The sequence below is a fragment of the Homo sapiens genome, chromosome 1 (genome assembly GCF_000001405.40).
Source record: "Homo sapiens chromosome 1, GRCh38.p14 Primary Assembly".
Lineage (NCBI taxonomy): Eukaryota > Metazoa > Chordata > Mammalia > Primates > Hominidae > Homo > Homo sapiens.
The window spans coordinates 220010330-220023278 of NC_000001.11; the positions used below are offsets into that span (position 1 = coordinate 220010330).

Below are 12949 nucleotides of genomic sequence, written 5' to 3' on the forward strand. Positions count from 1 at the left end.
ACTCTAGGAAGAGATAAATTCTTATTACACACTAATATGCTAACTCTACACAATAAAAAATAAGCACCAACTGAGCATAACAGTTCTGTGTGATGTACTATGGATTGTTACTAAAATAAACTTTTTTAAGGCAAAAAATCCAAAAAAGATTTACTTCGATTAGTATCAAATCCTGACAATGTTGAATAGAAAATCATCTCAGCCTGGCGCAGTGGCTCACGCCTGTAATTCCAGCACTTTGGGAGGCCGACGCAGGCAGATCACGAGGTCAGGAGATTGAGACCAACCTGGCCAACATGGTGAAACCCCATCTCCACTAAAAATACGAAAATTAGCTAGGCGTAGTGGGGGGCACCTGTAATTCCAGCTACTCAGGAGGCTGAGGCAGGAGAATGGCGTGAACCCGGGAGGCAGGGGTTGCAGTGAGCCGAGATCGCCCCACTGCACTCCAGCCTGGAGACATAGCAAGACTACGTCTCAAAAAAAAAAAAAAAAAGAAAGAAAGAAAGAAAATCATCTCAAAATCATGCCACTGCCATGAAAGCACATTTTCCTTTTTATTTCCTGCTCCTTCTTTTAACAGAGAGAAACACATTGGTGAAACTGTAAGAGTGACCTTTGGGTGTTTGGCTACTTCTTTCATCTCCTCCTGAGCTTCAGGTACATTCACTGGGATCACTTCTTTCTTCAGTAATGCAACATATCGTGGAGCCACTGGGTCAATAACCTGCAACAAATACATCCTCATGTTAAAACACTGCGATATCTTATAGAGCGCCATAAGCAAAATAAATAATAGCACAGGAATACTAACTGGCTTTCTTGTTACTGCATTTACTAATTTTTTTTCAACTGTTAACTCTTTTCTGATATTTACCATTAAGCAGAAAAAAGAGAACAACTGTAAACCAAGACTACATGAAGGATTTAGACTTCTTTCACAAGAATAGCTACTGGCAGGTGAAAAGAAACCAATTAAAGCATAATATTAGAGTTATTTTGAAAATAATTTTAAAATCTGGTATTAGAAGGCAAGGAAAAGTTTTCCAGTGGGGTTATATCTTAATCCTAAAGGTAAATGTGATATTCAATTTTATAGTTTGGACAAGCCCATTTTAAGAGAATATGGATATTTTTGTTTCAGTATTGTTTTCTTTAATCAGTGTTAGGGTAACACATCACCATCAAAAGCAGAATAGCATTCGGTCACTATAATAAGGCAATTCTATAGATTAAAAGTATAAATGACATTTCTACTGGTTTACATGCTATATGTAGAGGCCAGTATATATAGACCAGTATATTCTCAGTATATTCCCAGTACCTAGCTAGGGTCTGTCTCATATAGGTAATCAATAAATATTTGCAGATTGCCTCAATAAATGGTCATACACATTATGCTCTAACCTATTCTACTTCCAAATCATCAGTAGCATCCCCTTCTGGAGCTGATGTATTTTTCTCACTTCACTGTTCAGTGTAAAATTAGTCATGATGACCAATCACAAGAGCAATGTTTAGACACTATATATAAAGCACATGTGAGAAAAATGTAGATGAAAGCAGAGTCAAACAGCTAAGTAATGGAAGTTATTTTTTCTCATTAGAAGAATGCAGAAAACAGTGGTATAATTAAATTTGTTTTTATTTTTCCATTGTTGCCATTATTGGGTTGGTTTTTTTTGTCAGTGTTGAAGGTAGTTTTCAGCTTCTAAAAAGAATGATATCGTGGAAATTCTGAATGAACTCAGAGAGGAAGCCATCCTCAGAGAGGTCATTCACGCAAAGTTTGAAAAGCTATTTAACTTCTCCTCATCTGCTAATCCTCATCTGCTTATATTTCATGCTAATACTAAATCAGTACCAGCCTTTTTCAAGTTTACTGTTTCATTCCTTCCTTGAGGCTTAAAGTTCATTCTTACTAGCTAAGGATTTCTCCTTTCAGCTTCTACTGGGCTGGAATAATCAAAGATTTAATTCGTGACTGACTACTCAGTTCAGTATTTAAGTCAGTAAGACATAATTTCTTTAAAAAAACTAAAACTAGACAACCCCGCCTAAGAAACTTAGTTCATTGCAGCTGTTTCCTCCGCTGCCAAAAGGAGCAGGATGTTTCCTATACTTGACTAATTTTAATCACCACTTGGGGCAGTTGTTAGCACAGATTCTGAGACAACTTGGTCTGAAGTAAATTTCAGAAATCTAATTTTTAACAAGCATTCCATAGGATGGTTAGGATCAGGCATATTTGGGAAACTTGGATTCAAAGACTTAAAAGGTATTTTTAGCTCTAAAAATATGCAATTCTAAAAGTCTCTGGATCAGTGGTTTTCAAATTACTCCAAAGAGTCCTAAATATTTCAAAGAGGTGCCCTGGTAGCACTAAGTGGAGGTGGAAGGACCAGAGGGCCTCCAGATCCCCTTCATATACTTCAACCAGAACAGCTAAGTTTTTGTTTTATTTATTGGGGTTTAATTCTGGTAGCACTAAGTGAAGGGGGAAGGACCAGAGGGCCTCCAGATCCCCTTCACATACTTCAACCAGAACAGCTATGTTTTTGTTTTATTTATTGGGGTTTAATTTTCAAGAAAACTTTCACTGGAAGGAAGTCTCCTGATTTGTGGAGTGGGGAGAGAAGTCTCTACATACTTTATTAGCTGAGAACAGATGCAAGGGGTTGAGATGAGAGTTGGGAAAAATTATATTATACTACTGAAATACATACATTTTAAAACTAAAGCAGTCAATAAGGGTTCATAGAGATTGACAACAGCTCTAAAATGAACATCTTAAACCTGTGACTCTTCTGCCTTGACTGAAAAGTTAAAATCTTAACACTTAAATAAAAGCTAGAAGAAAACTAGTGAGGTTAATGCAAAGTAAGCTCTTGAAATGTCTCCTACCACTATCAAGGAAAAAACTATTTATAGATATATTCCATTTAACTATGATACAGAAAAATAAAGTACTAGTTTCCTATCAAGATGAAAACTCAGGCTGAGAAAACAAGGATCACGGTATTGTCGAAGGGATATTGAGATAACTAATCACCCCACATCTCTTTCCCCTTCATCCATTTCTCCCTTCTTTTCTTTACCACGTACAATTCACTCCTAAAATAAGGCTCTTTCTCCAAAGAATCATGCAAATAAATCTAGCTTATTTTTTTTAAAACAGAACCTGCTTTGAAAAAAAAAATGCTAAGTTAGTGAAGAGTAGGAGAATGTCCAAAGAATGATGATTCAGCTCTGCCAGTAACACTTACTTCACAACTCCACGGCGCTAAATTTAGTTCACTGATGCTTCACTTAAATCTTACCTGCAGAGCTTGAGAAGAAAGACAGAGCAAGCTAGAAAACAACAAAGCAGTAATTAGAGATTGAGAGTGCCATGAACTCTAAATAAGAGGGGTATGTACCTCAAGAGTTGAAGGGAATGGGTTTCAGTGTATGAAGACATCATGAAGGCCAGCAATAGAAACAAAAAGTAATGATCACAATGATTTCCTTTTTACTACCAGTTGACTAAAAACAATGCTATGTTTTAAAGACGGTGTTTAATGATTAAAGATCTCACAGGATTTAGGAGAAAAAAGGCAGACTGAAAATACTCATCAACTTTCACTCTTTCCCAACCCCCAACTTAAAAGAAATGAAAGGTTTTGTTTTGTTTAAAGGAACAAATCCAGAAGGATTAATATAATAAAAGAAGAGAAGGCTGGGCACAGTGGCTCACGCCTGTAATCCCAGCACTTTGGTAGGCCGAAGTGGGCGGATCACCTGAGGTCAGGAGTTCGGGACCAGCCTGGCCAACATGGTGAAACCCTGTCTATACTAAAAATACAAAAATTAGCTGGGCGTGGTGGCAGGCACATGTAATCCCAGCTACTCGGGAGGCTGAAGCAGGAGAATTGCTTGAACCCAGGAGGCAGAGGTTGCAGTGAGCCGAGATCACGCCACTGCACGGTAGCCTGGGTGACAGAGCGAGACTCCATCTCAAAAAAAAACAAAAAAGATAACAGCAACAAAATTCTGGAAGCTGAAAAACATAGAAGCATCCCCTCCCCACTCCATATAACCAGGCAACTGCCTCTCCCCTACCTTGACAAAAGACTGGAAGTTTACTCTGTGAATAAGAGGGTATCTAGATTCTGGCAGATACCAGAAAGAGCCAAAGGAAAGGGTACTGCACGAGAGACAATGGGAATAAGTGAATGTATGATAGTAGATTTATAAAACCCTCAGCAGTCTTCCCCCATTTGGCTCCAAAGCCTGGCAGCCAGGTCTTCACACTTCAGGAAGGCGATTCAATGAAGCCCCTCTGGGAAAACTGCCTAATCCTTGAGAAAAGATATAAAATTACTGACATGGAATTTCTCCAACAAACTAGCCCAGCCAGATCATTGTACAGTGAAGCTCAGTTGAAAGCCCAACTCTCATTCTTCAGGCTTCCAATCACTCTTTATTTCCCCACATTAAACATAAGCAGATAACCAAGGCTCTAACCAGACATCTGAGAAATATCTTTAACGTGAAAGAAACCAAAATAAACAAATTGGGGAGAAGAGACACTACTCTGCAGAAAACCCTACTATTAATACCATGAAACAAGAATAGAGAGTTATTTTGAAAATTCAGAGAACAAGAGAAACACTGGAACTATAGTAGCATAAATAAAATTCAACAGAAAGGTGGGAAGATAAAAATTAAGTAGATCTGTGATAAACTAAAAGACAAGAAGGAAAATAAGACAGAACACGAAACAAGAGTACCAGTCCAAGAGGCCCAACATCTTCCCAAGAAGAGTTCCAGGAGAAGAAATACACAATAGAGAAGAAAGAAAAAGAATTCAAAGCCGGGCACAGTGGCACACACCTGTAATCCCAGCACTTTGGGAGGCTGAGGCGGGTGGATCAAGAGGTCAGGAGTTCAAGACCAGCTTGGCCAAGATGATGAAACCCTGCCTCTACTAAAGCTACAAAACTTAGCCAGGTGCAGTGGCAGAAGCCTGTAATCCCAGCTACTCAGGAGGCTGAGGCAATAGAATTGCTTGAACCCAGGCAGCAGAGGTTGCAGTGAGCCGAGATCGTGCCACTGCATTCCAGCCTGGGCGACAGAGTGAGACTCCGTCTCAGAAAAAAATAAAACAAAACAAAAGAGAAAAGACAAGACAAGAGAAAGAAAATAAAAGATGGAAAGGGAAAGGGAAAGGGAAAGGGAGAGAATTCAAGAAAATTTCCCAGAACTGAAGGAATGAGTTTCTAGACTGGAAGTCACATGTTCTTCCAATGATGCGGATGAAAACAGACCCTCACCATGGCCTATCATCATGAAATTTCAGACTAAAAACACAGGTCAGATACAAGGTTTCAAAATTTTCTTCATCCCATCCTCCCCTTGTCAGGGAGCTGGACTGAGTCTCCAAAGAATGACGTATTACCTTCAGGAAAGCAAGAAGGTAATATAAAAAAAAAAAAAAGAAGATCCAAGAATGGGGCAATGTTCTGTAATGTCCATTACAGAATAAAAGCAAAGGGAATCCCTAGGAAGATGCTGAAGAGACCTAGGAAGATAGCTATGCTTCAGAAACCAATGGGCCATGAATCCAAATCAGGTTACAGAGCAGCACAGAAGGCTCTGGCAAATGTCTCCAAAATGAAACTGAAAGTATACCTAAGGCATCTGAATATCTTGGTGGGAAATTTGCACATCTTGTGGAGACAGAAAAGTATGCAGGGGGGCTTGGTGGCTCACACCTGTAATCCCAGAACTCCGGGAGGCTGAGGTGGGCGGATCACGAGGTCGGGAGTTCGAGACCAGCCTGGCCAACATGGCAAAACCCCGTCTCCACTAAAAATACAAAAATTAGCTGGGTGTGGTGGTGGGTGCCTGTAATCCCAGCTACTCGGGAGGCTAAGGCAGGAGAATCATTTGAACCCGGGAGGTGGAGGTTGCAGTGAGCCCAGATTGTGCCATTGCACTCCAGCCTAAGTAACAGGGTGAGATTCCGCTACAAAAAGAAAAAGAAAAAAGAAAAAAAGAGTACGCAGGGGTGGGGAGAGGAAAAAAAAAAAATTAATTTTCTTTTTTTTTTCTTTTGAGACAGAGTCTCACCCTGTCACCCAGGCTGGATTGCAGTGGTGTGATCAGGACTCACTGCGGCCTTGACCTCCTGGGCTCAAGTGATCCTCCCACCTCAGCCTCCCAAGTAGCTAGAACTACAAGCATGCACGACCAGGCCTAGCTAATTTTTTTTTTTTTTTTTTTTTTGGAGAGATGGGGTATCACTATGTTGTCTAGGCTGGTCTCAAAATCCCAGGCTCAGGCGATCCTCCTACCTTGGCCTTCTGAACTGCTGGGAGTAGAGGCATGAGAACCTGGCTTTTTTTTTTTTTTTTAACAGAAAAACAAAAACAAAAACAAAAAATAAGCAAATGAGAGGGAGAGACAAAGCAAGACAATCAACTACAAGCAAACCAAAAAGTTAGGAGAAAAAGTAAAAGGTCAAATTATTTATCTTCCATCACGGGAAGTCAACTAATATGTCTAAACATAGCTAAAAAAGTAGTAACACATATATTTCATTCAGCAATATAAGCAACAGGCCGGACACAGTGGCTCACGCCTGTAATCACAGCACTTTGGGAGGCAGAGGTGGGCGGATCACAAGTTCAGGGGTTTGAGACCAGCCTGGCGAACACAGTAAAACCCCATCTCTACTAAAAATACAAAAATTAGCCAGGCATGGTGGCACATGCCTGTAGTCCCAGCTACTCAAGAGGCTGAGGCAGGAGAATCGCTTGAACCCGGGAGGCAGAGGTTGCAGTGAGCCTAGACTGTGCCATTGCACTCCACCGTGGGCGACAGCAAGACTCTATCTCAAAAAAAAGAAATATAAGTAATAAATACCAAAAGAACTATCTAGAAGAGATGAAAGTGCTTTCTCCAGGGAGACTATGAAAGTAGATAGAGAGAGGAATGTGTTGTTCATCTTAACAGACCCTACAGAACTATTTGACTATAGTAAAATATATTTCAGATATCTGAAGTGTCCATGTTTAACTTTATTAAAACTTAAAATCAGTAAAAATTGTATTGTTAATGAAAAGTACACCAGTGTTAACTTTGCCAGCAAATTCTACTCATATTTATTATTAGTAACTGCAGCAACAGCAAGAACCAATTAACAATTCCTTTATGTATCAAAAACTAAACACGAAAGACCAAAATAAAACAAATTCAAGACACATGCGAAACAAGCAACTATATCTTGAGGCAAGACATCAGCACCATCAAGCAGCAATCCCAAATAAGAATTTACAGAACACAATCACAGAAACCATAATTTAAAACATGGCATTTGAATGATTTGCCTTATTATAGTGTCCAAGCATCTGCTTTCCAATTAGTAATTAACAATGTCAATAGGCAATGTTCCTCATTTGACTTTCAGTTAAGAAACAGTTAAAAAAAAAAAAGCTGGATTCAGTAAGACAAAGGAACTGTAATTAATGAAACTTTAATACAACTCAATGAAATACATACTTTTAGAATTCTATGTCCTCTCAGCACACAAGGGAATGGGGTAGAATAGAGTTATCCCAATATTCCCCTTGGCACTAAGAAAACCAGAGGACATGGTTTTTAACACTAGGAATAATGCATTTTCAATGCGTTTGTATAAGCAAGTCTTTTATATAAATGTGATTGTGCTTCAAAGCCATATAACATCTCAGGTTTTAACATGTAATATGCTAAAAGCTATGTTTAAGGCAAATAAAAGCATTAAGTAATACCTTCTTACAGAGAGCTCGCAGCTTGAAAGCAGAAAAATGAAATGCAGAGTGTTCATAAAAAATTTAAGGAAAAAAATATTACTGTTCCCCATAATTCCAAGTTTGTTTGTTTCAATCATTGTTACTTATTTGGAATAGTTAATAGGCTTAATTAATGCTCTTCGTGTATTTAAAAAAGGAAAACATTCCATTTTCCTGAAAGTCTGCAAAATGTTAATATTCTTCACAAACTTTTCTCTACCATGAGCACAGTAATGACTTCTACTTGTACATTATTTGGGACTTAAGCATGAGAAAAGAAGGCAGAGAGTTAACATACATACCTTTTTGTTAAACGCCCAGATTTTGTCCCACTCCATGTTCACGACTGAACGTGAGGAGCCCTAAAAAACAATAACAACATGATTTTAAGGGCAAGCAGTATTAATTAGAACTTTGCCTTTATTTCATGCTAAGCATGTTTAGAAAAAAAAAAAAAACTCGATAAATACTTTCAAGTTTACTTCTAGTGAAATATAAAACTCAGTGTATACAAACTAATTTGGTTACCCTTAACAGTTCACTGTAAAGGTTCAGTCTACAGACTGCTCACAGTCAAGTCATATAATTCACTGCTAAAAATACTTCAGCTGCCTTTCTCCAAATCTAGCTTAGGAGTTTAGGACATTTTCAATTTTTCACTATTATAAGCAGTGATAAACTTTAAAAAAAAAAAAGTTTGTTTTAAAAAAAAAAAAAAAATCTGCCCTTGGATCATAAGGCACAAACAAGGAATAGAAAGAACAACAGAGATAATAAAGAGTAAAGGGACAGTAATAGAAGTACCTGAAATTTCAAACAGACAAGCTGGAAAAGAAACTGTAACGCACCTGAGCAGCAATAAACTGTTTCAGTCCTTCAACTGTCATCCCTCTTCTCAGTACACCACGAACCGTAGGAAATCTTGGGTCATCCCTGGAAATATGTAAATTTTAAGTACCAAGGAAATTTTGTAATGTGTAGATGTGGAGAGTAGAAGATACTTAATCAATAATAAATCATATTCAGCTTGTTAAACATTTGTCTAAGAGCTAGTTATACTAATTAGGTAGTATGCAATACTAGTGAGCCCAAATTCAAGGAACAGGATAACTGCTGACCTGTCAAATACTGCAGTAAAATAAATGCACTACTGGAAACAGTAGAAGCACATTTGAAAAAAAAGACACAATGGTGACATTTTCAAATATGGAAATCCCATGCATTCATACATTTTTATTTATCAAACATTTTCAAGGTCCCTATTCCACATAGGACCATGAGAATCAGAAAAAAGATGGTATCCTGTCATTCACATATGAATATACTTTATAAAGCCCTTTGGAATAAAACAAAAATATATGTAGGAAATTAATATTCTGCAGGGATCTGCAAACCTCAGTAAGTATGCAGTAATACCCTTTTCATGGAGCTCAAGATAAACTTTTACATCTTCACTTCGATTCAAGGGTATTTTAACCTTCTTGGGACCTAGCCAAAAAGAAAAACCTCAGCCTCAGCAGAGAGTAGAGATCAGTAACCAAATATACCAAGAACCAGAAAGTCAAAACTGTTCTTCTATTAAATGCTAAGACCTGCAGAGGATGTGCCCTCATGTGTGTTTTTCATTCCATGATCCCCAGTGGGCACTCCATTATTTGTGGCATTAAAACAAGAAGGGGAAGCCCTAATGCACTGGCTGAGAAGAAGATAAGAATCAGGAATTCTATAGGCCTACCCATTCCCCCTCCTCCCAATCACCTTCCCTATCTCTCAAGCAGTTTAAAAATCACTGATCTACTATGTCCTTACTTCTTGTCAATTCTAAGTAACATTAAACATACCATCCATCTACTAGTCCTTCATTGACAAACCATGTGAGTTTTCTTTTGGATAGCACTGTGTTGTTGAGATTTAGCCGACTATATTCCCAAATATATGGTTTTCTTATGCCTAAAGCTTCAATAATCCAGTAAAACTGCTCATCTCTGTCATGGTATTCTGTTGTTCTCAGGGCATGTGTAACACCTTCGATGCTGTCAACTATGGGGCAGGCAAAATCATATGTTGGATAAACACTAGAAAAAAAGAAAATAAAATAAACAAAACATTTTACCCTTTCCCTCTTAGATTAAGCATTATAAACAACAATACTAATTTAAAATGTAATTCTTTACAAGTTAAGAGATTCTTAAAAACCAAAAGGTTTTATGACTTAATACTCAAAGTGTATCAAAACATTATCAGCCTTTGAGAACAATGAGTCAGTTGTCAACTTAGCAGTCAAACAAAAAAGCAAATTTGCAATCTAATACAAAATTAGGTATTGGCTTGGCAAATTGTATAATCATAATATTTCTGTAATGGCCAATGTATAACATAGTAGGAAGCAATAAATAATACATGTAATAATTTTAAGGAAATTTAGCTTTTGAACATCTTTTTTTTTGAGACGGAGTCTCACTCTGTTCTGAGTAATCCCTTACTCAAGTAAATCCCTAAAAGTCTTAAAAGTACTCAAACACACTCAAAAACAGTGCTCCATTCACTGTGTAAAAAAAAAAAACCGACAGAAGACCAGAAAATCATTAGGTCAAAATTACATTTAAGATGAAATAGTCTAAAAAACAGTTTCTGACTAAGATAATGTATACAATTTACATGCAGTATCAATTTGAATTTATATATATATATATATATATATATATATATATATATATATATATATTAGTGCATTATGCTTTCTTTCTTTTTTTTTGGAGACAGTCTCGCTCTTTTACCCAGGCTAGAGTGCACCGGTGCGATCTCAGCTCAGTGCAACCTCCGCCTCCTGGGTTCAAGTGATTCTCAGCCTCCCAGGTATAGATGGGATTACAGGCATGCGCCACCATGCCCCGCTAATTTTTGTATTTGTTTTAAAGTAGAGATGGGGTTTCACTATGTTGGCCAGGCTGGTCTCAAACTCCTGGCCTCAAGTGATCCACCCACCAAGGCCTCCCAAAGTGCTGGTATTACAGGCATGAGCCACTACACCCAACCAATGCTTTCCTTTTTGTTTGTCTAGAGACAGGGTTTCACTCTGTTGCTCAGGCTGGAGTGAAGTGGCATGATCACAACTCACTGTAACCTTGAACTCCTGGACTGAAGCAATCTTCTTGCCTCAGTCTTCCAAGCAGCTAGAACTACTGAAGCGTGCCACCATACCTGGCTAGTTTTTTTTTTTAATTTATTTTTTGGTAGAGACAGGTTCTTGCTATGTTTCCCACGCTGGTTTCAAACTCCTAGCCTCAAGAGAGCTTCCTGCCTCAGACTCCCAAAGTGTTGGCATTACAGGCATGAGCCACTGTGCCCAGCCATTATACATTCTAACTTTTAAGATACAACTTGATTAAGATGCTACTGCATTATGCTTTGCAATTATTTGACACTGAAAATGTGTATCCAAAGTCACTTTTCCAAATGTATTGAAAGGATTTGCTTAGTAAAACAAGGAGTAATCCTGAGAAAAATGATATGTATGCACATATAATCACATGTGTATTTGTCTATATATGGACAGACATGTCAGCACCCATGAGTTTAAAGTAAGTCACATCAGCTAACCAAGTAATCATTTACATTTACCATTCTCTTCAGAAATTTTAATTCAGCATTTATGTGTAGTACGCTTCTTCAAAGTATTAAAAAATATTTTTTATGATTTATTTTATAAAGTAGGGTTTTTTTTTTTGGAAAAGGTCCATTTAAAACAAAGATTCGTTAACCTACAAATCCACATTGAAAACTAATCTAAACACATGTTACTCTCCTGTATTGTTCATATTTCTGGAAGTTTTCAATACTATTACTTTTAGGAATCAATTTGTGCAAAGTAGACTCAAAGTTTATTACAGGAAGCAAAGTATCTTCACCTAAAGATGTACATCACAGTATACCTAATCAATACAAAAAAAGCAACTCTAGGCAGACTCAGGACTTTCATAGATGGAAGTGATCTTAGAAATAATGTGGTAGAACCTTAATTGACAGGTGAGTAAACGGCCCGTGAAAGGCTACATGCCTTTACAGAAGGCCACCAGCCAGTGAACCCATGGATGAACAAAAGGCCAGGTTTCTTGACTATTTTGCTTGTACTCCATGTTTAAAGAAGATCAAAACAAAAGCACAGATGGCTACCTAGCATATTGAAGGAGATATACTTACTTGTATTTATTTCCAGTTCTTGGATGTGGTTGAATTTTGCAGCGATAAAGGGTTGGATCTCTCATGCATCCATTGTTACTACTCATGTCAATTTTTGCTCGCAAACAACAGGACTGACCAAACTGGCTCCCTTTTTTCATTTCTTCCCACATTTGTAGATTCTTCTCAATAGCTATAAAATGATAATTACATTACGGTTCACTAATCTGGTTAAATTCAAATTATTCTCATAGTGCTATAATTTGATATAAATTTTCATGTTCTTGTTTTATAACCACCCTGTGTTAGTTTAAAAACACTGTAATATTTCCAGTATCCAGTACCAAGAGCAAATGCGTCATTTTTTAATTAAAGAAGTTTCACAATACATTTAGCAAATACAAATACGTTTTAGAAAAGGTAACATCAATACATTCCACTCATGTGGTATCAATTAAGCATAAGAAAAAGTACAAGGCCTGAAGGCTCCGCTCACCTAGTGTTTCCCTTCCCATCATGGCACAACGGGCCAGCCCCTTCTCTTCTCATCTCCCTGAAATTTAACATTCTGCCTTTAAAGCAGAAGCATTCTTATTTTGCCACCTCATGCCTAAGGGACAGAATGGTTTGGTCCGGCCCTAAGGTCCCACAGGCATTGGCACTACAGACCGTGCCTATCTAAAGAACACAGCTCAGGTTGAGAGTCTGAGCTCATGGGCTCCCTGAAAGCCCCTTCATCATCCCAATGAGAAGCAGGATACTCTTGGATCCAAGAAAATAAGAGGTGATAGAAAACAGTGACACAGGAAAGAAAAGAGTTTAATACCAGAAAAAAGGACTCTACATTCCAAGTGGCTATGGCTCCCTCTATATCACAATATCTAGCAAAAACCTGCCCTGTATGCATACAAACTGTTAAACAATAATTTTCTGTGGAAGCTACTAGAAATGTA

At 37.8% G+C, this 12949-nt stretch overlaps 1 protein-coding gene across 1 annotated transcript in view, besides 1 other annotated feature; it reads right to left on the reverse strand.

The window, feature by feature from the left end:
• The window catches only part of EPRS1 (glutamyl-prolyl-tRNA synthetase 1), a 77906-nt gene that overhangs the window by 41730 nt on the left and 23227 nt on the right, over positions 1-12949 (reverse strand). Inside the window, exons 9-13 of the mRNA NM_004446.3 lie at positions 12018-12189; positions 9659-9892; positions 8666-8750; positions 8120-8179; positions 617-727 (exon numbers count right to left, since the gene is read on the reverse strand). Of these exons, the coding sequence (NP_004437.2) occupies positions 617-727; positions 8120-8179; positions 8666-8750; positions 9659-9892; positions 12018-12189 (662 nt within the window). The remainder of the gene's footprint in view (positions 1-616; positions 728-8119; positions 8180-8665; positions 8751-9658; positions 9893-12017; positions 12190-12949) is intronic.
• Positions 5935-6104: an enhancer, noted in NCBI's record as "experimental_4879 CRE fragment used in MPRA reporter constructs". NCBI's record gives its function as "activates a minimal promoter by MPRAs in K562 erythroleukemia cells, with activity observed for the introgressed 1:220189691 variant allele {active_cell/tissue: K562}" and the evidence as "EXISTENCE:reporter gene assay evidence [ECO:0000049][PMID:34662402]".